The sequence below is a fragment of the Homo sapiens genome, chromosome 7, assembly GCF_000001405.40.
Source record: "Homo sapiens chromosome 7, GRCh38.p14 Primary Assembly".
NCBI lineage: Eukaryota > Metazoa > Chordata > Mammalia > Primates > Hominidae > Homo > Homo sapiens.
The window spans coordinates 64,842,649-64,870,165 of record NC_000007.14 but is presented as its reverse complement, the minus strand read 5'-3'; the positions used below and the strand labels follow the sequence as shown (position 1 = coordinate 64,870,165).

Below are 27,517 nucleotides of genomic sequence, written 5' to 3'. Positions count from 1 at the left end.
CCGCAGGGACCCGTGGCCAGGCAACGGTGGCGTTCACTGTGACGACAGCCGCAGCTCACCACTCGTGCCTGGTGCCCCGCAACTGGCGTATGTGCATTCGCGAGGCCGGCTCGGGCGCCCAGCTGTCAGGGATGTCAGCCTGCCTAAGCAGGGGAAAATAGTACGGGCATAGCCGGTCTGATCTAAAGAAAAAGGCTGCCTGCGACAACCCACTGTGGGACCCTAGAAGTCTCGACAGTACAGCCTCTTTGGGGCGTCTCCGTGGTTCATCCCGCTGGAGGAGGAGGCGTTTCGAGACTGTAAGTTGGGCGCTGGAAACTGTTCTTCTGACTCCTTTCCCCAAAGAGGCTGTGTGCAGGAATCAGGTCCCAGAAGGATGGGTATACAGTCTGGTGAGATGTTGAGGGGTATCCGGGTGATGGAATCATACCTGAGATCCCAGAGGAGGGTGTCAGCAGAAGAATGCCAGGCCCTTGAGCTCACTGACTCCCTTCATCCTGGGCCTCCAAGGGGCTTCTGCTTCTCAGCACTGCTATCTGGAAAAGGCAGGAACCACGACAAAGGCAAGTCCAAAGTGGAGCAGAGGTCTCACACCTGTAACTGGCATCCCATGGGGGCAGATGAGGTTGAGAGAGTGTCTCAGAGGCCATATGGGGCGATTGCAATCCTGAAAAGGGTGTCCAGGAGTGCTGTTGAGGGGCATTGTGGACCCCCCCCCATGAAAGCTAAGGAAAATCAAGGCTAGCCTGGGAGGACAAGAGGGCTTGTGCTGGAGCCCAAGCCTCCCGTTCAAGGATTCCTGCCAGAAAACCCGAGAGCCTCCTCAAAGTGCAAACAATCCCAGCGCCCACAAGGAGGCCACTATTCACAACCTAGAGTGCAGCCAGCCTACTCCAAGTCCCTGTTGCTTCCTGAAATCCGTGGCAGCCAAATACCGTATACAGAGGCTGTCCCACCCAGCAACAGCCCAATGAGAGACCTTCTTCACAATTAGAAAGGACGTGCAGATGAAATGAAACAGGGCCTAGATTACCAGTCAAAAGCCAGACATGGCTGCCTACTTCTCATCCTACAGGAGTCATGCAGCCCTCCAATAGAAGTGGGAGAACAACAGTTTCCTTGTTGGTGGATATAACGGGAATTTATGGCTCCAAAATATCACAGCTGCCCAGTCATTAAAACATGACAGTGTTTAGAAGGAAACACTCATGCAATGGATCCCCATGAGGGTCGTCCTCCGTGAACTGGGAAACGTTTACTGTGGACGACTTTGAGCCAGACCCAGGAAACCCTAGGCCCATGAGGAACATGGAAGTCAGGATAAGAGGATGTCAGTGTGGAGGCCACATCTCACCCAGCATCAATCTATCCCACTTTCATGTGGCCCCGGGAATGAAAGCCCAAATCGTGAGTTGGCCAGAATGGCCGGGGTTTGAGCTCCAACTGTTCCCCGCACGTTGGAGTCCTCCCACCTGGGCGCCGGGTCATGGCGTGGACAGCTTGTGCAATGAAGGGAATGCGGGGGTGGAGTTGGAAGCACCTCTTGTGTCATCTCTCTGCACCATTTTTGCAGGTGAAGATGCGGGACCCAAACCACATTTCACCAGACTGTATCCTCACCCCCATCTGACCTTACTGCTGCTCACACTCTCCGTCCCAGAATGAAATCCCCAGAAGATGGAAGAGTGCCCGCCTCACGACGTGAAGCACCTACTCGGCTGGGAACTGAATTGGAGGTGGATTCAAGGGGCTCTGGGAATGAAACCCCAAATCAGGAGCTGGCCGGAAAGGCTGCAGTTTGCACTCCGACTGTTTCCAACTGTTCCCCGCACTTTGGAGTCCTCCCACCTGGGCACCGGGCCATGGTGTGGACAGATTGTGTAATGAAGCGAATGTAAGGATGGAGTTGGAAGCACCTTCTGTGTCATCAGTCTGCACCTTTTTTTGCAGGTGAAGGTGCGGGACCCCATCCTTAGGGATTTTGCGGTGTATCCCTGGGGCTCCGCTTGAGGTTTCTTCAGGCTGGTTCGCCGCTGCCCTCTCCTAGGGTCATGGGACTATCCCGTGGATCCCACAGAGAAGACAGACTAGAGTCCATCGCTGACGCACCTCCACAGAGGACTCCTTTTCTGCCAAGCCACAGGGACTAGTCGCCAGGCAAAGGTGGTGTTCACTGTGATGCGAGCCGTGGCTCACTGGTGCCCTGAGACTGGCGCATGCCCATTCGGGAGGCAGGCTCAGGCATCTGATGATGGCATCTTCCTGGATTAGGCCCCCACAGAAATTGAGGAAGTTGTTATCAGTCATTTATACCCTGAAAATATTAGTTCACCAGAGCCCTGGAGGGGGATGGGTAGAAGCTCATTAAAGTAGGTCTGGATGGTGCACAGAGTGTGAAGAAAACAGAGAAACCCAGAAAGTCTAAGCCTGAAGACAGCTCCAATCCTAGGAGATACTATTATTATGTCCATCTTACAGAGGAGGAAACTGAAACAAAGGAAGAGAACTTGATCAAGACCATGTTGCCCCACAGTGGAAGAGCCAAGATCCAAACCCAGGTAACCTGCCTCATCATCAGAGCCTGGACTCATAACCTCATGCTGCAGTTAAGCAGGTTTGCACTGTGGCTAGATACACAGACTCTGTGTTCACATCTCAGCTTCTCTGCTATTTCCATTTCTGTGACTGTAGGCAAGTTACTTCTCTGTGCTCAGTTTCCTCTATAAAGTAAGGACAGTAGCACCTGCCTCAGGGGGGTCTCTTAAATAAGTTAATAGATGCAACATGTTTAGAACATTGCCATGGGCTGGGCGCTGTGGCTCATGCCTGTAATCTCCACAATTTGTGAGGCCAAGGCGGGTGGATCACCTGAGGTCCGGAGTTCGAGACCATCCTGACCAACATGGCGAAACCCCGTCTCTACTGAAAATACAAAAATTAGCCAAGTGTGGTGGCATGCACCTGTAATCCCAGCTACTCAGGAGGCTGAGACAGGAGAATTGCTTGAACCTGGGAGGTGGAGGTTGCAGTGAGCCAAGGTCACACCATTGCACTCCAGCTTGGGTAACAAGAGTGAAACTCCATCTCTAGAAAAAAAAAAAAAAGAACAGTGCCATGTACACAGTCACCATCTAGTAATAATATCATCTATTATGTCTGAACCCTGGATGGTCGCATATCCTTGAAGAGTTTAAAATTCTGGACTTTGAAATGCCAGACTGTGGGATCCTGGAATCTGTCAGCTTCATGCTAACCTCTTCCAGCTGCAGAATTTTATGCTTCTTTGCAGGGTTGGAAGGTGTAGGGCAGTACATTTACCTAGTTCTGCTTCACTGTAGTGTGATTTCAAAGCCTTCCCTTCTCCTTCCCCTGCATGCTCCCTCACTCAGATTCATACATGCATTCTAGTCCTGCTTGACCCAATGGGAAAACAAGAGGGTGAGGAGTGAAGGTGGGTGGGTGGGTGGGTGCACTTGTTCACTTAACCATTCTGCCTCCAACCATGATGAACTTGTGCATCTAGGGACTGGGTCCAGACCTAAAGTGTTCTTGCTCTTCCTTTACCTTTAAGCCTCAATTTGCAGCAAACTTAGAGCTTCATCTTTCCCTGTGACCCTGTCTGGGTATTTTTGCTGGATGGACATGCATTCCCTCTGCCAGGGGTGGATAGTCTAGGGCCTGGCCAGGCAGCCATGGCAGATGAGAAGACAGTCCACATCAGCTTCATTGTGTTGGGTTATTTTTCTGCTGGCCCTTGGCACATTCCTAATGAGCTATGATTAGCCTCAGATCTACAGCACCTTCTGCAGCAGCGTCATGGTGACCAGGGATGTCATATACAGCATATGCCACTGTTACCCAAGGCAGGTGGTGGTAGGGCTTGGTGAGGGCAAGAGGACTGGAGACTGTGCCGTATTCCATCAATCCTGATCCTTCAATCATCTTTTCATTCTCATTTTGACTCCCTGTTTTCTTCTTTCTGCTCTTCTGAGCACATGTCCATGCATCCACATACCTGTCCATCCACCCATCTATATCCATTCATGCCTCTATCGCATAGCATTAGGATTGACCAGAGGACCCCAGGATCTACAGTCATTAACCAGACACCATGGAGAAGACACAATGAAACACAGTATATTATCCATGTGCTTAAATCAAAAGTCAATGAGTACTTTACTCTCTCCAGGCACTCCTGCATTCAGGATGCTGTTTTGCCCTCATCTTGAGCTTTTTGGTGCCTTTTGTAGTGCCATTTTATAGGAGAGAAGGCTGAGGCTCAGAAAGTGTGGTTCTATAGCTGAGTGGCAGCGTTTGTATTGGAGCTCAGATATGCAGATGTAAGCATCACCCTCCACTTTGAAATCTCTGCCACAGGGCCCTGGAGCTGCTTAGCATTTTGGGGTGCGTCAGGTCTCACCTTGGTTGAATGTATTAAGCAGTGCTCTATCTTTTGTTGTCTTAATGTATTCCTAGCCCTATGACTGCTTTAGGGATGAGAAGAGCACTACTTTGCAAGTCATGGGTTCTAGTCCCAGTTCTGTCCCAAACTTTCTGTGTGACATTTGTCTGAGCCTCGGCTTTTTAAATTGCAAAATGGGACACAAGCCCCTATTTTGCAGAGCCTCACAGGATGTAAAGATCAGAGAAAAGATAGGTAGAAAAATATTTTTTAAACTCTAGAGTGTTGTATGAGAGTGAAAGATTGCCGGTTACCTAAAATCCTGAGAAAGAACATGCCAGCTTCCAAATCAATTTTTGTACTTTTTCATTTTCTTCTTCAACTTTAGATACAAAAAATATTTTTGGGTTGGGGGCAGGGGGGAGGGATAGCATTAGGAGATATACCTAACGTAAATGACGAGTTAATGGGTGCAGCACACCAACATGGTACATGTATGCAGATGTAACAAACCTGCACATTGTGCACATGTACGCTAGAACTTAAAGTATAATAATAAAACAATATTTTTATTAGGTATGCTTTTAAGAGAATCCTATTGAAAACCAAACCAGTGGGTTTTTTGGAAAGTATTTTAATTTACCCATTTGTGTTAAAAATATTGCAGTGTAAGTATGCATTTCTAACTTTAATGATAATTTCTCTCAGCTCCTTTAACATTTATTTCTCTGATTTTTGGCTCTGTGCAAGGTTTGAAAACTTTACTTTCATTTTTGTAAATTATCTTTATTCTTCTCACAGATTTGTAGTGTTTTTCTTCTCCTTGGTGTTATGCAGCCCGTTTTAAGTAATTTATTTTTTTATTTTAAGGAATTAATTTTGTTATTTTTCTCTTTTTGGAACACTGCACATTTGAATTCAAGCACTTATATCTGGTTTTCACTTGATTTTAGCCAAAAGGCTGAGAAGTAATTATGTCTGCTTTTCAATTTTAGAAACTTATGAGTCACCAACTCTGAATACTGACTTTGATTTTGAAAATATATTCTATAAAAATAATCAGACTTGTTTTACTCCATCTCATGCTCCCTGTCATACATGTATATTTTAGATTTTGTTAATATAACTTTTCTCCTTTTGTCTTTACAGTAATTAATTACTGCTTAGTGTTCTAGTTCACTAATCTTCTCATCATTTCAGACTAATTTAATGTTTCACACATATGTTGTATATTAAGTAGACTGATTATATTTTCAATTGTTTACTTCACATTTGGCTGTTTTTTCTTTTCTTTTCTTTTTTTTTTTTTTTTTGCCGGTCTCAGTTTTTAATCATGGCGGGGCCTCAAGCACATGCACGCGTGCACACACACACACACACTCACACTCAGTCTTCAGATCTTGTTGAAAGCTGCAATGTCAACATTCTGCACGTGTTCTTCAAACTTGATGATCTCCTCCTCCAGCAAGTCTGTCCCCACCTTGTCATCCTCCACTACACACTGAACCAGCAGCTTCTGGATACTATAGCCCACGGGCACCAGCTTAGAGGCCCCCCCAGACCAGCCTGTCCAGCTGGATGGAGCACATACAGGCCTCCAGCTGGGCCATGTTAGTCTCATCATCCCAAGGCTTAATGTCCAGCAGGATGGACGACTCGGCCACCAGCATGGGCTTCTTGGCCTTTTTCTCTGTGTACTGCCGCAGCCGCTCCTCCCGCAGCAGTACTGCCTCCTGTCCTCCTCCTCATTGTCACTGCCAAACAGGTCAATGCCAAGACCAGCTTGGTTGGGGAGACCCTAACCCAGTGGCGCTAGAGGAATTAAAGACACACACACAGAAATATAGTGTGTGGAGTGGGAAATCAGGGGACTCACAGCCTTCAGAGCTGTGAACCTCAAACAGAGTTTTGCCCACATATTTATTGACAGCAAGCCAGTGATAAGCATTGTTTCTATAGATCATAGATTAACTAAAACAGGAAACAAAGCGATGGGCTGAAACAAAGGGATGGGCTCTGGCTAGTTATCTGCAGCAGGAACATGTCCTTAAGGCACAGGTCGCTCATGTTATTGTTTGTAGTTCAGGAACACCTTTAAGTGGATTTCCCACCCTGGGTGGGCCAGGTGTTTCTTGTCCTCATTCCGGTAAACCCACAACTGTCAGCATGGCTGTCATGCCCATCACTAACATGTCACAGTAGTGCAGAGATTTTGTTTATGGCCAGTTTTGGGGCCAATTTATGGCCAGATTTGGGGGCCTATCCCCTGTAGGTCAATGTCATCGTCCTTGTCATCCTCTGCTGGTTTGGCTGGCTTCTTGGCCAGGGGCTCCACTTGGCACATAGGAGACTCGTGCTGGGTCTGCAGGGCTGTGGTGGCCAGGCAAGCTCTTCTCCAGCACGTTCAGTGGGGCCTCCAGCTTGGAGATGGCCTGCTGCAGCTCCTGCACAACCCTGCGCAGGCTCTGGTTCTCCACTTCCAGACTGGTGATCTGAAAGATGAGCTCAGCCTTGTCTCCGCTGGGGCTGCTGGAGGCCCCGGGGCCTGAGCTTCTGGCCAGGGATTTCTGGAAATGCTCTCTGGCTCTCGCAATGTCATGGAGGATCATGCTGGCGCCGTTCTCCTGGCGGGAGGTGCTGGCCACAGCCTTGTTCATCTGCTTGAAGAATCTCCTTTCTGCATTGTCACATTTTAACTTGTTGAACCAGATCTTCTCATGTACTAGGAAGTTTGTAGCCACTTTTCTGATGCCAGCCAAGGACGCAGTGACCAGGAAGGAGGAATCAGCAGATGCGGGACGCCTGAGGAAAGGCTGGCTGTTTTTCAAATATGGCTTGTTGCTGGGTGTGGTGGCTCACACCTGTAATCCTAGCACTTTGGGAGGCCGAGGCGGGTGGATCACCCGAGGTCGGGAGTTGGAGACCAGCCTGACCAACATGGAGAAACCCCGTCTCTACTAAAAATACAAAATTAGCTGGGCATGGTGGTGGGTGCCTGTATTCCCAGCTACTTGGGAGGCTGAGTCAGGAGAATCACTTGAACCCAGGAGGCAGAGGTTGTGGTGAGCCAAGGTCATGCCATTGCACTCCAGCCTGGGCGACAAGAGTGAAACTCTGTCTCAAAAAACAAAAAAACAAAACAAAACAAAAAAACCCCCACATGCACAAAAAACAAACAAATATGACTTGTCACCCTTGTAGCTTCTTGTACTTTTCACATTATTGGTATATTTTCTGTTTTCCCCATTGTGTTGGATTAAACATTTTAAACCTAAGTCCTGTAACTGTGGGTAATATAAGTTGTAATTTGTTTCTCGCTTGTGAAAGATATTACGTTTGCAATGTCTGCAGTTAGTTTATGTTGTTACTTTTATTTTTATTTTTGTAGAAAAGGATTTTTATTTTTTTTTAGGGTGATTTTTAAAAGTTCTAGGGTACATGTGCACAATGTGCCGATTTGTTACATATGTATACATGTGCCATGTTGGCGTGCTGCACCCATTAACTCGTCATTTACATTAGGTATTTCTCCTAATGCTATCCCTCCTCCCTTATGTTGTTATTTTTTCATTTGTCTAATGGCAAGTTGGACAACCCACAGAAATTTTTTATTTGTGTGTTCACCCATATCTAAGAAGAACAATTGCTTCTTAGTTTAATTACATTCTGGATTCTTCCTTTGGCTTTCTTTTGTACCTGGAAAGTTCTCATATGTTTCTTTATATTCTACTCAGGATTTTAAAGGTTCTTGTAACTTTCTCAGAATTTTAGCATGTAAATTATTTTTATATTTAAAGATTTCCAAATATATAATATCTTTCCAAAATGCACAAATATCAACAGCATATACCTGAGGAAAATATTTTACAATTTTCTTGTGTGGCAGACAATAACATCTTATGAGAAATCTCAAGTTACATCAGTTAGAACATATTCTTTCCTCAATATACCAAAAAAAATTTTTTTTTTTTTGAGATGGAGTCTCACTCTGTCACCCAGGCTGGAGTGCAGTGGAGCGATCTCGGCTCACTGCAAGCTCTGGCTCCCGGGTTCACGCCATTCTCCTGCCTCAGTTTCCCAAGTAGCTGGGACTACAGGCGCCCGCCACCACACCCGGCTAATTTTTTTTTTTTTTTTTTTTTAGTAGAGATGGGGTTTCACCATGTTAGCCAGGATGGTCTTGATCTCCTGACCTCATGATCCTCCCGCCTCGCCTCGCAAAGTGCTGGGATTACAGGCAGAGCCAGCACGCCTGGCCAGTATACCTTAATTTTTAATACTAAAAAATCGATTTTATATTTTTACAAATATCTGAAGTAAATGTACTTAACTGTAGAGACTAATACCTACATATGGCCAGAATACTGTTTTTCTGTATCAGTAAGACAATGGCAAAATTACTGATCTAAATTCAAGTTTTTGGCTTTGATCACCATGCTTCTCCATTAGCACATTTCTTTTGTTTCTTCTTCCTCTTCTTTTTTTTTGAGACAGAGTTTCGCTCTTGTTGCCCAGGCTGGAGAGCAATGATGTGATCTCAGCTCACCACAACCCCTGCCTCCCAAGTTCAAGCGATTCTCCTGCCTCTGCCTCCCGAGTAGCTGAGATTACAGGCATGCGCCACCACGCCCTGCTAATTTTGTATTTTTAGTAGAGATGGGATTTCTCTATGTTGGTCAGGCTGGTCTGGAACTCCTTACCTCAGGTGATCCACCCACCTCGGCCTCCCAAAGTGCTGGGATTATAGGCATGACCCACTGCACCCAGCCAGCACTGTTCTGAATCAATAAAAATGATCTCAGCTTAAATCTTCCATTTGATTAAGAACTTAATTTAAAATTTTTATTTTTGAGGCACCGTCTAAACTTCTGGGCTCAAGTAATTTTTCTGCATTGGCCTCCCACAGTGCAGGAATTACAAGCATGAGCTGCTGCATCCAGTACTTTTAAATTTTTTAATGAGATTTTTATTTGGCTACATATTACTTGAATTCACTTTAGTCAATAATTTTCATTGTTACTTACAATGCTCAGAAAATACTACCCTCCTGGGTTTGTGCTTTCATAAATTCAGTGACATATATTAGGCCCAAAACCTTTCCATTTAAAATAATTGTCTGGTGTTTGAAAATAATGGGTATTTTTAGTTTACTAGCCAAAAGTGCTGCCCATTTATTTATATGCCTAATTAGTCAAACTTTCTAATAAAGTTATTTAACATTATTTATGTTCATATCATTATTGCATACCAAAAGATTTAATTTCTTTAATTACATTAATGGCCCTAATGTAACTTAGTGTAAGTAAAAACGTAACAGAGGCTGGGGAAGAAGTGGTTGAAGAAAGAAAAAATGTTGATGGAAGTGTACCACGTTTCACTTAGGAGAAATAAGATTTAGTGATTAATTGCACAGAATATTGACTATAATAAATAATAATGCAGTGTATATTTCAAAATTGGTATAAAAATATTTTAAATGTTTTTGCCACAAAAGTATAATAAGTATGTGAGGTGCTGAATTTGTTACTTAGCTTGATTTAAACATTTTACAGCATAAACATAAAAATATGACAGTGTACCCAACAAATACATACTTAGGATGTTATAATTGTATAATTATATTATATTGAGACAGAGTCTTGCTCTGTCACCAGGCTGAAGTGCAGTGGAATGATTTTGGCTCACTGCAACCTCCGCCTCCCGAGTTCAAGCAATTCCCCTGTCTCAGCTTCCTGAGTAGCTGGGATCATAGGTGCGTGCCACCATGCCTGGCTAATTTTTGTATTTTTAGTAGAGATGGGGTTTCACCATGTTGGTCAGGCTGGTCTCAAACTCTTGACCTCGTAATCCACCCACCTTGGCCTGCCAAAGTGCTGGGATTACAGGCGTGAGCCACCGTGCACAGCCAATAATCACTATTTTTATACAGAAAATACAGAGTTTTTTAAAGAGAGAAGAGATTAATTATAGAAGACAGAGACAAGTATAATTTATTGTGATTGGAACTAAATGCTATCAGAAGATTTACTATGTATGTGAAATTCTTTGACAAACTTCATGAACTTCAACTGGCCACAGGAAATCTCATTGTGCTCCTCTTTCTTTTTAAAGACAGAATCAACTTTACTACATTGCAATAATTTTTCTTAGGGTAAAAGTTGGGATTCACAATTATCTCTGGATTAATGGTGAATGTATTTGAAAAATTCTCTGATAGTCCTGACTAATCTTAGTAGGTCTAGTTTGGTTCTTATTGAATTGGATCACCTCATAGTCCCTTAATAAGCCAACTTTAAGAGAAATATACTTTCTGTTTTTTGAGAATTGTTTGAGTCACTGCCTGATGCAAGTAACAGACATAGACATGAACAGGTTACAAAAGATAAATAATGTCCTTAATGTACCTAAAAAAACTTTTTTAAACTGAATCTCTTAGGACTCATCCCATGTAGATGAGTCCAAAAAACACAATAATAACTAATAAAATACAATTTTCTGCAATGGAACATATCTGAGTATCACTAAAAATGACAAAGTTGTCCAGGCGTCGTGGCTCATGCCTGTAATCCCAGCACTTTGGGAGGCTGAGGTGGGTGGTTCACAAGGTCAGGAATTCAAGACCAGCCTGGCCAACATGGTGAAACACCATCTCTACTAAAAATACAAAAATTAGCCAGGTGTGGTGGTGTGTGCCTGTAATCCAGGCTACTTGGGAGGCTGAGACAGAAGAATCATTTGAACCCAGGAGGTGGAGGTGGCAGTGAACTGAGATCACATCACTGCACTAGAAATAAAAAAGAAGATATAAAAAAATGAAAGAGAAAGAAGAAAGCCACAATAGCCAAGATATGGAATCAACCTAAATGTTCATCAACAGTTGAATGAATAAAGAAAATGTGGTATATTTACACAATGGAATGCTATTCAGCCCTTAAAAAGAAGAAAGCCTTGTTATTTGCAAAAAGCTTATTGAACCTGAAGGACATTATGCTAAGTAAAATAAGCCAGCATTGAAAAAAATTTTTAAAAAGATCTCATTTCTATGCAGAGTGTAAAAGAAAATTCAAACTAATAGAAGCAGAGAGTAGAATAATGATTGCCTGCGACAGGGGGTGAAAAAGATTTTGGCCAAACATAATGGGTCTTCCCTACATCTATTACCTTAACAAATGTTATTCTCCTTGTAGTTTTGATTCACTGGGGAACTGAATCATATCCTGAAGACTCAAAACTGAAGGAATAATATATTTGTTAAAGCAATGCAGATTGTATACTGACATTTCAGAGGCTTAGCAAAATAATATATTTTCTTCTCACATTATCCCTTATGGTTTTTTCCTTGATAAAAAGACTTCCCCATGATTTTTTAGTAATCATGTCTTCTTTCATCTTCTATCTGCATCCTCCTCTTTCTTCTGTGAATAAATTAACAAAGAGATGTAGAAAAGACACATTTGCTTTTTATCCACACATCACTTCCACTCACTATTAGTCAATGTAAGTAGAGCTGAGAATAGCAGTTTTCTGGCAGGACACTTCTCAGCAATAAATAAAACCCTGAAAGAAAAGTGTAGATTTTTCATGAAAAGCTAATGTATTTTAAGCAAAACAAGCATATTCATCAGAAATAAAATGCTTGTGGCAAAATATAGATTCATTTCATTGATTTCTATGGAGCTCGGGTAATATTTGACCAAAAGCTAGGCAATATGCACAGAAAAAGGAATATTTTTTGAAATAAGAATATTGTGAAGTTGTTCTGTCAAAAGAAGTAAAAATATTATGATCTCATACTAATAGTCTCATCTATAGTTCTACAATATCAAACGCTTTTTATTAAAATTTGTATTTTATATAGGTATCCAATTTATATCACCCTCCTTTGCTATTTCAATGCTGTCTCCACTTTATATCAGTGGGAAACAGGCCACCTGGTCCCAGGAAAGCATGTGGTGCTATTGCGACTTTAACGATGATGATGAAAAGCACTTGTTTGGGTGGTACTGATGTGCCACTGTTATTTTGCCCAAAGCACTGTTTTTTTTTAATTCTTCTCTAAATTTACTGATAAAATAAAATTCTTTTTTTTTTTTTTTTTTTTTTTAAATTTATTTTTTTATTGATAATTCTTGGTTGTTTCTCACAGAGGGGGATTTGGCAGGGTCATGGGACAATAGTGGAGGGAAGGTCAGCAGATAAACAAGTGAACAAAGGTCTCTGGTTTTCCTAGGCAGAGGACCCTGCGGCCTTCCGCAGTGTTTGTGTCCCTGATTACTTGAGATTAGGGATTGGTGATGACTCTTAACGAGCATGGTGCCTTCAAGCATCTGTTTAACAAAGCACATCTTGCACCGCCCTTAATCCATTTAACCCTGAGTGGACACAGCACATGTTTCAGAGAGCACAGGGTTGGGGGTAAGGTCACAGATCAACAGGATCCCAAGGCAGAAGAATTTTTCTTAGTGCAGAACAAAATGAAAAGTCTCCCATGTCTACTTCTTTCTACACAGACACAGCAACCATCCGATTTCTCAATCTTTTCCCCACCTTTCCCCCTTTTCTATTCCACAAAACCGCCATTGTCATCATGGCCCGTTCTCAATGAGCTGTTGGGCACACCTCCCAGACGGGGTGGTGGCTGGGCAGAGGGGCTCCTCACTTCCCAGTAGGGGCGGCCGGGCAGAGGCGCCCCTCACCTCCCGGACGGGGCAGCTGGCCGGGCGGGGGGGCTGACCCCCCCCCACCTCCCTCCCAGACGGGGCAGCTGGCCGGGCAGAGGGGCTCCTCACTTCCCAGTAGGGGCGGCCGGGCAGAGGTGCCCCTCACCTCCCGGACGGGCAGCTGGCCGGGCAGGGGGCTGACCCCCCCACCTCCCTCCCAGACTGGGCGGCTGGCCGGGCAAAGGGGCTCCTCACTTCCCAGTAGGGGCGGCCGGGCAGAGGCGCCCCTCACCTCCCAGACGGGGCAGCTGGCCGGGCGGAGGGCTGACCCCCCCACCTCCCTCCCGGACAGGGCGGCTGGCTGGGCGGGGGGCTGACCCCCCCACCTCCCTCCCGGACGGGGCGGCTGGCCGGGCAGAGGGGCTCCTCACTTCCCAGTAGGGGCGGCCGGGCAGAGGCGCCCCTCACCTCCCAGACGGGGCGGCTGGCCGGGCGGAGGGCTGACCCCCCCACCTCCCTCCGGACGGGGCAGCTGGCCAGGCTGAGGGGCTCCTCACTTCCCAGTAGGGGTGGCCGGGCAGAGGCGCCCCTCACCTCCCGGACGGGGCGGCTGGCCGGGCGGGGGGCTGACCCCCGACCTCCCTCCCGGATGGGGCGGCTGGCCGGGCAGGGGCTGACCCCCCCACCTCCCTCCCGGACGGGGTGGCTGCCGGGCAGAGACGCTCCTCACTTCCCAGATGGGGTGGCTGCCGGGCGGAGAGGCTCCTCACTTCTCAGACGGGGCAGCTGCCGGGCGGAGGGGCTCCTCACTTCTCAGACGGGGTGGTTGCCAGGCAGAGGGTCTCCTCACTTCTCAGACGGGGCGGCCGGGCAGAGACGCTCCTCACCTCCCAGACGGGGTCTCGGCCGGGCAGAGGCACTCCTCACATCCCAGATGGGGCGGCGGGGCAGAGGCGCTCCCCACATCTCAGACGATGGGCGGCCGGGCAGAGACGCTCCTCACTTCCTAGATGTGATGGCGGCTGGGAAGAGGCGCTCCTCACTTCCTAGATGGGATGGCGGCCGGGCGCAGACGCTCCTCACTTTCCAGACTGGGCAGCCAGGCAGAGAGGCTCCTCACATCCCAGACGATGGGCAGCCAGGCAGAGACGCTCCTCACTTCCCAGATGGGGTGGCGGCCGGGCAGAGGCTGCAATCTCGGCACTTTGGGAGGCCAAGGCAGGCGGCTGGGAGGTGTAGGTTGTAGCGAGCCGAGATCACGCCACTGCACTCCAGTCTGGGCACCATTGAGCACTGAGTGAACGAGACTCCGTCTGCAATCCTGGCACCTCGGGAGGCCAAGGCTGGCGGATCACTCGCGGTTAGGGGCTGGAGACCGGCCCGGCCAACACAGCGAAACCCCGTCTCCACCAAGACCAGTCAGGTGTGGCGGCGCGTGCCTGCAATCGCAGGCACTCGGCAGGCTGAGGCAGGAGAATCAGGCAGGGAGGTTGCAGTGAGCCGAGATGGCAGCAGTACAGTCCAGCTTCGGCTCCGCATGAGAGGGAGACCGTGGGGAGAGTGAGAGGGAGAGGGAGAGGGAGAGGGAGACGGAGAGGGAGAGGGAGACGGAGAGGGAGAGGGAGAGGGAGAGGCCCCCTTACATTTTTGCACGCAAGATAAAATAAAATTCTTAACTAAGAAGACTTTATCTCATTCATGTATGTATTATGAAATTTTGTTGACATTTAAGCGTCTCTGACTTACCAGGAATATTGAAATTTTCCATGAATTCAATTGAGCACTGTAAATAAACAATTGTTTACTAATAGCCTTTGGGAGGCAGAGTAAGATTTACAGAATTTCTTTATAATATGTTCCTAGTAATCCCTCTGAACACAGCATTCTCAATTCTTAGTATTCACCCTGAGTCACTCAGGGGAAATTGGTATCTCTGTAAACAGGCAAATGAAGGTGCTGGGTGGAGGTGCATGACATTGTACAGAAATGATGTCCACACGCACCTATAAGGGCCTTAATTTAATGGACTGTTAGTTACATGGCTACATACTTACTGAATCTAGTCATACTATCTTTTGTCAGCTAATGACATTTGTTACCTATTAATTCAATATAATTATTTGCTTGGCTGAAAAATAAATCCTTTAATTTATTCTAAATTGAGAGATTAGATTTGCAATCTTCAATCTTTTAATGTTAAATCAGAGAAAAGCAATGTATGTATATAGTATGCATTTTCCTACCCATGAAAATTATTTGTATTGCCTTGAAAACCCTAGGAAGCCACCTAAAGAATACTCTCTTCAAATCCTTTAGCCAGGATTTTAGATTTCAAAAATAAAAACCTTAACGATAGACCGAAGTCTAAATCTTCTCTTTGCTTCTTGTCAGTAATCTGGCCATTTCAAAAAGCATGTCAATTATGCCAAGCCATTGAAAAGATGTGGTTTTGACTAGTTTTATCCCATTTCAAATGTTTTTTTCTAATTGTTACTTTTGTCATGTTAATCTAAGAGCAAATATCTACATAAATGTTCATGCATTCAAGCAATATTTATATTATGACTAGGTGTGATGGCTCACGCCTATAATCCCAGCACTTTTGGAGGCCGAGGTGGGCCGATCACTTGAGGTCAGGAGTTCAAGACTAGCCTGGCAAAGTTGGTGAAACCTCATCTCTACTAAAAATACAAAAGTTAGCCAGGTGTGGTAGTGTGTGCCTGTAGTTTCAGCTGCTTCGCAGGCTGAGGCAGGACAATCAGTCGAACCTGGGAGATGGAGGTTGCAGTGAGCTGAGATCACGTCACTGCACTTCAGCCAGAGCAATGAAGTGAGACTCTGTCTCCAAAAAAAAGAAGTACATATGTATGTGTGTGTGTGTTTAAAGTTCAATATTTTATTACAGTATAGTAGAATCCTCTAAAAATATTAAGTTTTCTGGCTTATTTATTCCTTGTGTACCATTTTATACATTCACAAAAACATTAAACAATGAAAATGTAACCAATTATTCAATTTTTGTTAATTTTTATTAAAAGTGAGTGTGAAAATAATTATTTTTTTTTTTCTGGTTAAAGAGGTTTTTGTTTTGTTTTGTTTTTTTGAGACAGAGCCTTGCTGTTACCCAGGCTGGAGTGCAGTGACTCGATCTCGGCTCACTGCAACCTCCACCTCCTGGGTTCAAACGATTAAAGATGGTTTTTATTGTTATACTAAGGAGTGTTATCTCTGGAGACACATTTGCCTGTGTTTTAATATTGGCTGTGTTTCTTTCTCTGCAAACTGAGGATAATAACACCTATGTTATTCAGTTACTGTGAGAATTAAATTTATTAACACATTAAAGTATTATGGTTAATGCTCAGTACAAATTAACGATTAATATGATATGTATATGCTGAAGTACACTAGTATGTGCTTTAAGACGGGAATGCCCTTTTATAACACATGAGTTTTTCAATCAATATATTTAATTTTTTAAAATAAATGTTGTATAGATACACAATGGAATACTATTCAGCCTTCAAAGGTGGTAAGTTTCATCATTTGAATCAATATAGATAAATTTAGAAGACAGCATACTAGATGGAATAATCCTGACATAGAAAGACAAATACTACATGATCTCATATATATAGAAAAAAGTTTAACTCGGGGCGCAAAGCGAGCCGGTGGATCCATAAAGAACCCAGCCAACTCGCAGAGGGAAGGGAGGGGCTGAGCTGTGAGGAGAGTGGGGCCCAACAACCATATCTACATGGGAGTCCTTTAACCCGGAAAGTTACGAATTGGACAAAAGCTTCCGGCTAACCAGATTCACTGAACTGAAGGGCACAGGCTACAAAGTGCCCCAAGATGTCCTGCAAAAATTGCTGGAATCTTTACAGAACCACTTCCAAGAAGATGAGCAGTTTCTGGGAGCCTTTATGCCAAGGCTTGGCATTGGAATGGATACTTGTCATTCCTTTGAGACACGGTGGGCTTTCCTTGGTTCAAACTACAGATTACATTTACCCAATTGTAGACGACTCTTACGTGACAGGCAGGATAGCATGTGCCAATGTCCTCAGTGACCTCTACGCAATGGGGGTCACAGAATGTGACAATATGCTGATGCTCCTTGGAGTCAGTAATAAAATGACCAACAGGGAAATGGATAAAGTGATGCCTCTGATTATCCAAGGTTTTAAAGACGCAGCTGAGGAGGCAGAAACGTCTGTAATGGGCGGCCAAACAGTACTAAACCCCTGGATTGTCCTGGGAAGAGTCACTACCACTGTCTGTCAGCCCAGTGAATTTATCATGCCAGACAATGCAGTACCAGGGGATGTGCTGGTGTTGACAAAACCCCTGGGGACACAGGGGGCAGTGGCTGTGCATCAGTGGCTGGATATTCCTAAGAAATGGAATAATATTAAACTAGTGGTCACCCAAGAAGATGTAGAGCTGGCCTACGAGGAGGTGATGATGAACATGGCGAGGCTCAACAGGACAGGCGGGCTTCTGATCTGTTTACCATGTGAGCAAACAGCTCGGTTCTGTGCAGAGATAAAGTCCCCCAAATATGGTGAAGACCACCAAGCATGGATTATTGGGATTGTAGAGAAGGGCAACCACACAGCCAGAATCATAGACAAACCCCTGATCATCGAGATTGCACCACAAGTGGCCACTCAAAATGTGAATCCCACACCCGGGGCCACCTCTTAATCTAAGCAGAAATAGCTGTTTGGTTTTGTTTTTAAATAGATCTATTTCCTTTATCATCGCTTCAATTAAAGACTATAAGCAACAAAAATCTCACTGTATCTACATATCAGGTGACCTTAGGTCAGTTTGTAAGTGGATACAATTAATAAAATAAAATCCATGCCTTTTTTTCCTGTCACATTAACTGAAGATGCACCTAATCTTGAGGCAGCTTCTGAGTTGAGAATTATATTGTTATCCAATACTGTTGATACATTTTGAATCTTTAGACACTTACCTTTTGCCGAATAGGCTCTTTTTAAATGTGCTTCCACATAGCACAGACATTATCGTAGTCATGTCAAAGAGCAGTTGGTGTCTTCATTTTATGTATATTTATTATAAGTCTGATTTTTTAAGAGTCTTGAATGGTTTTCTGGAGAGATAGCATTGGTCAGTGGCACATGACGGCATCCCAGTCATAAGAGGGTTGCATGATTCCTTTGAGTGTTTGATTTGAAAAGCCTAGTCTTCTCTCAAGAGCATCTTGGACCCAGAACATTCTCCAGTAGTGCATTCAGTTCAACACGGCAAGTGCTTCACTGCTTGGAAAACACTTTGAAGACAAAAAAGAAATCTTATTTCTTTTTTTGGAGGCTTCCTGACATTTACAGTAATACCATTAACTGTTTTCTTTATCGATAGCAAAAAAAGGATACTTTTTGCAATGTAATTAGGTATTTTATAGTGCTACAAGGAATTGCCTTCCAAATGGAGGTTCATGTATAATACTCATTTACAATTCAATATATAATTACGCAAATAATTTTTAAATATAATCAATAATAAAGACTGTTCTGTGGATGGTAGTGTTTAATACATTTTATATTTTGTATAGTGATTTCAGGCCTTTTGTTTTCTTAAAATCAGCAGCTATTTAGCGTAATTCTTAGCATTATTTTGTCCTTTGCGCTCGTACATTTTTGTGCACGCTTTTTGTGATCTGTGTTAAAAACCTGCATTGCCAACATTGCAGCCCAAACTTAAACTTGTTATTCAAATAAATACTTAATTTTTTAAATTGCTGTTGTATAAAAAAAAGAATAAAGTTTAACTCAAAAAAGTACAAAGTGGAATAATCTTTACCAGAGGCTGGGTGTGGTGGGAAGGAAACAGAGAGGGGTTGATCAAAAAATACAAAGTTTCAAATAGACAGGATAAATAGGTTTTGAGTTCTATTGCACAGCAGGGTGACTATAGTAAACAATAATGTATTGTATATTTCAGAATAACTAAGAGTAAATTTCAAGTGTCTCACCACAAAAAAATGATAGGTAAGCAAGTTGTTATTTAACTCGACAAAATCATTTCATACTATATACATATATTCAAATATCTCATTGTACCCCATAATGTACAGAACTCTGGTGAATGAAAAATGCTATTAATATATATATTTTTAAAAGGATAGTATTTAAAACATTCAACTACTATTATACCCCCAGACTGACTAGAAGAAACATGGGTTACAAACCACTGATGTGGCCACCTTGTTTTTAGGTTTAACATTAATCATGATCTAAAAGAATCAATAAATAAGAGTGAATAAATTTCCTGTACACTTGCTATGTGCTGGGGACTTATTGGGCACATTTATTTGTATTAACTGCTTTAATTTTACCAAAACCCTATGATTTAGGCAGTAAAGAGCTGAAGAGTCAAGCACAGAGAGATCAAGAAACTGTATTCATGTCATATAGTCCATAAATGGCAAAACTGGAATGAAACAAGGAACCACCTGATACGGCGTTTCAATCTTAACCATTATGCCCAACACCCTCTCATCCAATGCTACTTTTTATTTTTGACCCAACATTTTTGGCTTTGAATTTTCTAAATTAGTAGAAATAAAGAGAAATTTAAAAACCCCTTTTCTGGGGGAAAAAATAGCGAACAGGAGGCAAGGGCTAGATTGCAGCTCCCACTCAGAGCAGTATGTGGAGACTCGCATCATTAACTTTTCTCCAGAAGTACTGCAGGAATAAACCAGGAGAGCTGAGAGAATCCAAAGACCCTCTGACGGAAGCAAACTGCTCCAACAGGACCTGGCAGACAGCCAAAATATTGATAGTGTTCAAGATGTGAAAGTGGGAAAAAGGGATAGTCTGCCCTTGAACACATACCCTCACTGGGGAACCTGAAAGTCTAGAACATGGAATAAGAAATCTGACTTTACCTGGAGCTGAGTCAATTTAGAGAGCTGAGCTAAATACAGAGGTAGAAGAAGTGGGAAAAGCCCGGTGGGCTCTGAGTCTTCTGGGAAGCCATTTTAGACTTGCGTCAAAGGGGCCCTTGGGGAGGGCTGCCAGGGGAACTTGGAAAGGACCACAGGGAGAAGGAAACCTCCAGCTGAACTTTCTAACAATTCTAACCAAACGTGAAGTCTCCTGACCAGAAATTCGGAAAGGGTGTGAATTGGGTGAGCAGACTCCACAGGCAGCAAGGCACAAAAGCCCTGCTTGCTTTTGCAGCTGGGAGGCTGGTAGCCAGGGGCAAGTTCTTAGCTCTGTTCCCTCACTGCCTGGCAGAACACTCGGTGCTCTTGGGGGTGGGGAGCATGGTGGGAATGAGTCTTGCTTTTGGGGTTGCATGAGAGATGGGTGAGTCATGTAACTGCTGGCTCTCCCCCTTTCCCCCACACCCCTGACAACCTGCATGACACAGCAGAGGCAGCCATAATCCTTTGGGAACATAACTCTATTGACCGGAGAACCACACCCCCACTTCCCACTGCAGCTGCAGCAAACCCCGCCCAAGCAGAGGCTAAGCTCAGACATGCCTACCCATGTCCCCACATGATCTTCCCTCCCTACCCACCCTGGTAGCTGAAAACAAATATCATATATTCTTGGGAGTCCTAGGACCCCACTCACCACCTGATTCTCCCTATACTACCACAGCTGATGCTCCCTTTAAAGCGCCACCTCCTGGCAAGTAGCCAACGAGTACAAAAATAGTGCATTAAACAACCAAAACTAAGGACCTTAACAGAGTCCAATTCATCACCTGCTACCTCCACCAAAGCAGGTGCTAATATCCACAGCTGAGAGACCTGCAGACAATTCACATCACAGGACTCTGTGCAGACAACCCCCAGTACCAGCCTGGAGACCTGCCTAGTGACTAGATCCAGAAAAAAGATAACAATCATTACAGCTTGGCTCTCAAGAAGCCACATTGATAGGAAAATGAGAAGAGTACTACATCAAGAGAATACCCCATGGGACAAAATAATCTGAACAGTAGTGTTGACACTTAGACACTCCCTCGGACATAGCCTACCCAAATGAGAAGGAACCAGAAAAACAATTCTGGTAGTATGACAAAACAAAGTTCTTTAACATTCCCCCCAGCCAGGTGTGGTGGCTCATGCCTGTAATCCCAGCACTTTGGGAGGCCGAGCTGGGCAGATCACGAGGTCAGGAGATTGAGACCATCCTGGCTAACATAGGGAAATGCTGTCTCTATTAAAAATACAAAAAATTAGCCTGGCGTGGTGGCAGGCACCTGTAGTCCCAGCTACTCAGGAGGCTGAGGCAGGAGAATGGCGTGAACCCGGGAGGTGGAGCCTGCAGTGCGCAGAGATCATGCCACAGCACTCCAGCCTGGGCGACAGAGCGAGACTGTCTCAAAAAAAAAAAAAAAAAAAATCCACCAAAATCACACTCACCAGCAATGGATCTAAACCAAGAAGAAATCCCTGATTTACCTGAAAAAATAATTCAGAAGGTCAGTTATTAAACTAATCAAGGAGGCACTAGAGAAAGGTGAAGTCCAACTTAGGAAAATAAAAAAAATACAAGAAATAAGGGGAGAAATCTTCAGTGAAATAGATAGCATAAACGAAAAACAATTACAACTTCAGAAAATGAAGTACACACTTAGAGAAATGCAAAATGTTCTGGAAAGTCTCAGCAATAGAATCAAGCAAGCAGAAGAAAGAAGTTCAGAGCTCGAAGACAAGGTTTTTGGATTAACCCAACCCAACAACAACAAAGAAACAAAGAATGAGAAAAAATGAACAAAGCTTCCAAGAAGTTTGGAATGATTTTAAGTGAGCAAACCTAAGAATAATTGGTGTTTCTGACGAGAAAGAGAAGTCTAAAACTTTGGAAAGAAAAACCTATCAGATTAAGAGCAGATTTCTCAGCAGAAACCCTACAAGCTAGAAAAGATTGGGACATTAGTCTCTTTAAATTAAACAATTATTAGCCAAGAATTTTTTATCCAGTGAAACTAAGCTTCATAAATGAAGAAAAGATACTGTCTCTTTCAGACAAACAAATGCTGAGAGCATTTGCCACTACCAAGCCAGCACTAAAACAACTACTAAAAAGAGCTCAAAATATTGATACACATCTTTGAAACACGTCAAAACAGAACTTCTTTAAAGCATAATCTCACAGGACCTATAAAACAAAAATACAATTTAAAAAAAAACAGTATACAGGCCACAAATAACACAATGAATAAAATAGTACCTTACATCTCAATACTAACATTGAAAGTAAATGGCCTGAATGCTCCACTTAAAAGATACAGAATTGAAGAACTGATAAGAATTCACCAGCCAATTATCTGCTGTCTTCAAGAGACTCATCTAACATAAGGATTCACATAAACTTAAGGTAATGGAGTGGAAAAAAAACATTCCATGCAAATAGACACCAAAAGCAAATAGGAGTAGCTATTTTTATATCAGACAAAGCAAACTTTAAAGCAATAGCAGTTAAAGAAGACAAAGAGGGACATTATATCATAATAAAAGGCCTTGTTCAACAGAAAAATGTCACAATCTTAAATATATATGCACCTAACACTGGTGCTACCAAATTTATAAAACAATTACTGCTAGACCTAGGAAATGAGATAGACAGCAACACAATAGTGGAAAACTTTAATACTCCACTGACAGCAAGTCAACAAAGAAACAATGGACTTAAACTATACCCTAGAACAAACGGGCTTAACAGTTACTTACAGAACATTCTAACCAAGAACTGCAGAAAAAAAAAAAAAAAATATATATATATATATATGTATTAGAAGAGATGGGGTTTCACCATGTAAGCCATGCTGATCTCAAACTCCTAACCTCAAGTGATCTGCCCACCTCAGCCTCCCAAAGTGCAGGAATTACAGGTGTGAGCCACAAAGCCCAGCCTACAGATGCAAAAGTTCTTAAGAAAATACTAGCTAACCAAATCAAACAACATATTAAAAAATAATCCACCATAATCAAGTAGGTTTTATACCAAAGATTCATGGATGGTTTAACATGTGGAGTCAATAAATGTGATACACCACATAAACAGAATTAAAACAAAAAATCACGATTATCTCAATAGATGCAGATAAAGCATTTGACAAAATTCCAGGATCCCTTTATGATTAAAACCCTCAGCAAAATTGGCATACCAGAGATATATTTTAATGAAATAAAAGCCATCTATGACAAATCTACTGCCAGCATAATAGTGAATGGGGAAAAGTTGAAAGCATTTTTCTCTGAGAACTGGAACAAGACAAAAATGTCCACTCTCACCATTTTCATTCAACATAGTACTGAAAGTCCTACTCAAAGCAATCAAACAAGAGAAAGAAATAAAGGGCATCCAAACTGGTAAAGAGAGCTCAAACTGTATTTTTTTTCCTGATGATATAATTGTATACCTAGAAAGCACTAAAGACTCCTCCAAAAAGCTCCTAAAACTGATAAATTCAGCAAAGCTTCACAATACAAAATCAATGTGCACAAATCAGTAGCTCTGCTATATACCAACAGCAACCAAGCTGAAAATCAAATTAAGAACTCAACCCCTTTTATAACAGCTGCATAAAAATACAAAATACTTGGGAATATACCTAACCACAGAGGTGAAAGACCTCTACAAGGAAAACTACAAAACACTACTGAAAGAAATCATACACGACACAAGCAAATGAAAACACATCCCATGCTCATGGATGGGTAGAATCAATATAGTGAAAATGACCACAATGCCAAAAGCAATCTACAAATTAAACACAATTCCCATCAAAATACTATCATTATTCTTCACAGAACTATAAAAAACAATCCTACGATTCATATGGAACCAAAAAAGAGCTTACATAGCCAAAGCAAGACCAACCAAAACCAACAAATCTGAAGGCATCATATTACTTAACTTCAAACTGTACTATAAGGCCACAGTCACCAAAAAAGCATGGTACCGGTATAAAAACAGGCACGTAGGCCAACGGAGCAGCATGGAGAACCCAGAAATACACTCAAATACTTACAGCCAACTGATCTTTGACAAAGCAAACAAAAACATAAAGTGGGAAAAGGACAACCTATTCAACAAATGGTGCTGGGATAATTGGCAAGCCACATGTAGAAGAATAAAACTGGATCCTCATCTCTCATCTTATACAAAAATCAACTCAAGATGGATCTAAGACTTAAATCTAAGATCTAAGACCTAAAACTATAAACAAAAACCCAGAGTGGGAGGAAATTTTCAAAATTTATACATCTGACAAAGGACTAAGATCCAGAATCTACAATGAACTCAAACAAATTAGCATGGAAAAAACAATCTCACCGAAAAGTGTGCTAAAAACACGAAAAGACAATTCTCAAAAGAAGATATAAAAATGGCCAGCAAACATATGAAAAAATGCTCAACATCACTAATAATCAGGGAAATGCAAATCCCAACTACAATGTGATACTACCTTACTCCCACAAGAATTGCCATAATCAAATAATCAAAAAATAATAAATGTTGGTGTGGATGCAGTGAAAAGGGAACACTTCTACACTGCTGGTGGGAATGTAAACTAGCACAACCACTATGAAAAAGAGTGTGGAGATTCCTTAAAGAACTAAAGGTAGAACTACCATTTGATCCAACAATCCCACTATTGGGTGTCTACCCGGAGCAAAAAGTTATTATACAAAAAAGATACTTGCACATGTATGTTTATAGCAGAATGATTTGCAATTGCAAAAATGTGAAACAAACCTAAATGCCCATCAATCAACGAGCAAATAAACTGTAGTATATATATGATGGAATACTACTTACCTATAAAAAGGAAAGAATTAATGTAATTCACAGCAGCCTGGATAGGACTGAAGATTATTATTCTAAGTGAAGTAACTCAGGAATGGAAAACCAAACATTGTATGTTCTCACTCATAAGTTGGAGCTAAGTTATGAGGATGCAAAGGCATAAAAATGACACAGTGGATGGTGGAGACTCAGAGAGGAGTGTTGGGAAGGAGGTGAGAGATAAAAGACTACAAATTGGGTTAATTATACACTGCTCAGGTGATGGGTGCACCAAAATCTCACAAATCACCACTAACAAATTTACTCAGCCAGGCACGGTGGCTCACGCCTGTAATCCCAACACTTTGGGAGGCCGAGGCGGGCAGATCACGAGGTCAGGGGTTCGAGACCAGCCTGACCAACATGGTGAAACCCCGTCTCTTCTAAAAATACAAAAATTAGCTGAGCGAGGTGGCTTGCACCTGTAATCTCAGCTACTCAGGAAGCTGAGGCAGGAGAATCACTTGAACCCGGGAGGCAGAGGTTGCAGTGAGCAGAGATTGTGCCAGTGTACTCCAGCCTGGGTGACACAGCAAGACTCTGTCTCATAAAAACAAAACAAAACAAAACAAAACAAAAAAACACATAAAACTTACTCATGTAACTGAATACCACCTGTTCCTCGAAACCTATGGAAATTAAAAAAAAATAAAAAATTAAAAAGAGTGAAAGGGACCTCAGGGCTCATCCAGCCTCACCTTTCTCATTTTGCGGATGCAGAAGAGAGGTTGTAGACAGTGCCAATCTCACATAGCCTTTCAGAGATCGACTCCAGACCTAAAATCAGACCCTCCAACCCCAAGCCCAAGTTCCCTTTTGCTATCACTGTCTCCTCAAAGAAGAATGAATCAAATTGAGAAAGGGAGTGGTAAGACCCACATCCAGACTCTATTCTTCTGGGCACTGTAGGACCTTTTCCATTCCCAGTGCTCATGTTATGCCCAAACCCTGAGAAAATGTGCCCTTTAAATCTCTGTGCACCCCTGGAACTAGCAAACATTAAAAATAATAACAACAGGTTGGGCACACAGGCTTGGGCCTGTGGTCCCAGCTAGTTGGGAGAGTGAAGAGGGAGGACATCTTAAGCCCAGGAGTTCTAGGCTGCAGTGACTTTTTAAAAACTTAACCTTGGCCAGCGCAGTGGCTCAGGCCTGTAATCCCAGCACTTTGGGAGGTCAAGGCGGGCAGATCACAAAGTCAAGAGATTTGAGACCAGCCTGGCCAACATGGTGAAACCCTGTGTCTACTAAAAATACAAAAATTAGCTGGGCATGGTGGCGCACACCAGTAGTCCCAGCTACTCAGGAGGCTGAGGCAGGAGATCTCTTGGACTGGGGAGGTGAAGGACGCAGTGAGCCAAGGTCACACCACTGCACTCCAGCCTGGTGACAGCGAAACTCCATCTCAAAAAACAAAAAAATAAAAAAAATAAACTAACCTCAAAATTCCAGGGAATCAAAAGAGAAATAGGTAAGTCAGATTAGTTCAAATTAAAAAGCTGCTGCATGGAATCTGATACAATCAACAAAATGAGACAACTAAAAAAATGGAGAAAATATTTGCAAATCATTCATGTGACAAGGGGTTAATATCAAAAATATATAAGAAACTCAAATGACTATATGACAAAAGACTATTAAAAAGAATGAAAGGCTTAAATATTTTTCAAGACATACATATGGTCAAGAGACACATAAAAATGCTCAATATCAGTTATTATCAGGGAAAGGAAAGCAAAAAAAACTATATCAACTTATTTCTGTTAGAATTACTCCTATTTTAAAAATGTGTTAGTCAAGGTGTGAAAAAATGGCAATGCTTGCACACTGATGGTTTGAATGTGAATGAGGACAGTCATTACAAAAAACAAAATAAGGATTTCTCAAAAAAATTTAAAATTAAACCACCAAATACAGCAATTTTATTATTGGTTATACATCCAAAACAAACGAAATCAGAATGAAGAAACATGTGCCTGTTTTTTACAACACTCTTCACAATTACCAAAATATAAAATCAGTGGTTTCAACATTTAATGAGTAAATAAAGACAATGTGGTATATACACACAATGGAATACTATTCATCTTTAAAGAAGGAAATTTTATTATTTTCAATCACACGAATTAACCTGGAGGAAAACATTATATTTGTCGAAATGAGCCAGGCACAAAGATTATTATTTCATGATTTCACTTACAAAGGGATTCTAAAAAACTTAATCTTATTGAAGTAAAGTGGTGGCCACCAGACACAAGTTATTTAGGAGAAAGGAGGGTTTGAAAAGATGTTGATCAAAAAATACATAATTATAGTTAATAGAATAAGTTCAAGAGATTGTTTTGTACAGCATAGTGACTATAGATCAAAATAATGTATTTGTAGTTTTGAAAAATGCTGACAATGTCACATGCTCTTGCCACAAAAATGTTAACTATGTGAGGTAACTACCTAGAATTAAGCATTTGACAATGTATATATACTTCCAAGTATTATGTTTTACAAAATAAATACACATTTACTTATTTATTACAGATGGTGATGACATGGAAGACACTAAAAGGGAAGGTGTTGCTTACAGACTTATGACTGGCCACTCTGGGA

General features: G+C 42.6%; 1 protein-coding gene and 2 pseudogenes across 3 annotated transcripts in view, besides 2 other annotated features; 1 reads left to right on the top strand and 2 right to left on the bottom strand.

Annotated features, from left to right (window-relative positions):
- EEF1DP4 (eukaryotic translation elongation factor 1 delta pseudogene 4) lies at positions 5,716-7,215 on the bottom strand (annotated as a pseudogene).
- Positions 9,343-27,517, bottom strand: part of ZNF138 (zinc finger protein 138) — a 66,396-nt gene continuing 48,221 nt past the window's right edge. For 2 of the 3 annotated variants that reach the window (NR_160269.1, NR_160268.1), the window contains 2 exons: positions 18,050-18,367; positions 9,343-11,959 (listed from right to left, as the gene is read on the bottom strand). The gene's annotated coding sequence lies outside the window, so the exon portion shown is untranslated. Of the gene's footprint in view, positions 11,960-16,368; positions 18,368-27,517 lie in introns of those variants that run through there. The other variant, NR_073389.2, reaches the window with a different exon arrangement.
- Positions 14,144-14,700: an enhancer, noted in NCBI's record as "H3K4me1 hESC enhancer chr7:64315844-64316400 (GRCh37/hg19 assembly coordinates)". NCBI's record gives its function as "activates a minimal SCP1, AML or CMV promoter by ChIP-STARR-seq in naive H9 embryonic stem cells {active_cell/tissue: H9 hESC(naive)}" and the evidence as "EXISTENCE:reporter gene assay evidence [ECO:0000049][PMID:30033119]".
- Positions 16,717-18,846, top strand: SEPHS1P1 (selenophosphate synthetase 1 pseudogene 1; annotated as a pseudogene).
- Positions 20,207-20,790: a transcriptional cis regulatory region, noted in NCBI's record as "candidate enhancer chr7.2319 targeted for multiplex CRISPR interference". NCBI's record gives its function as "positively regulates ZNF273 gene expression with high confidence in K562 cells {active_cell/tissue: K562}" and the evidence as "EXISTENCE:mutant phenotype evidence [ECO:0000015][PMID:30612741]".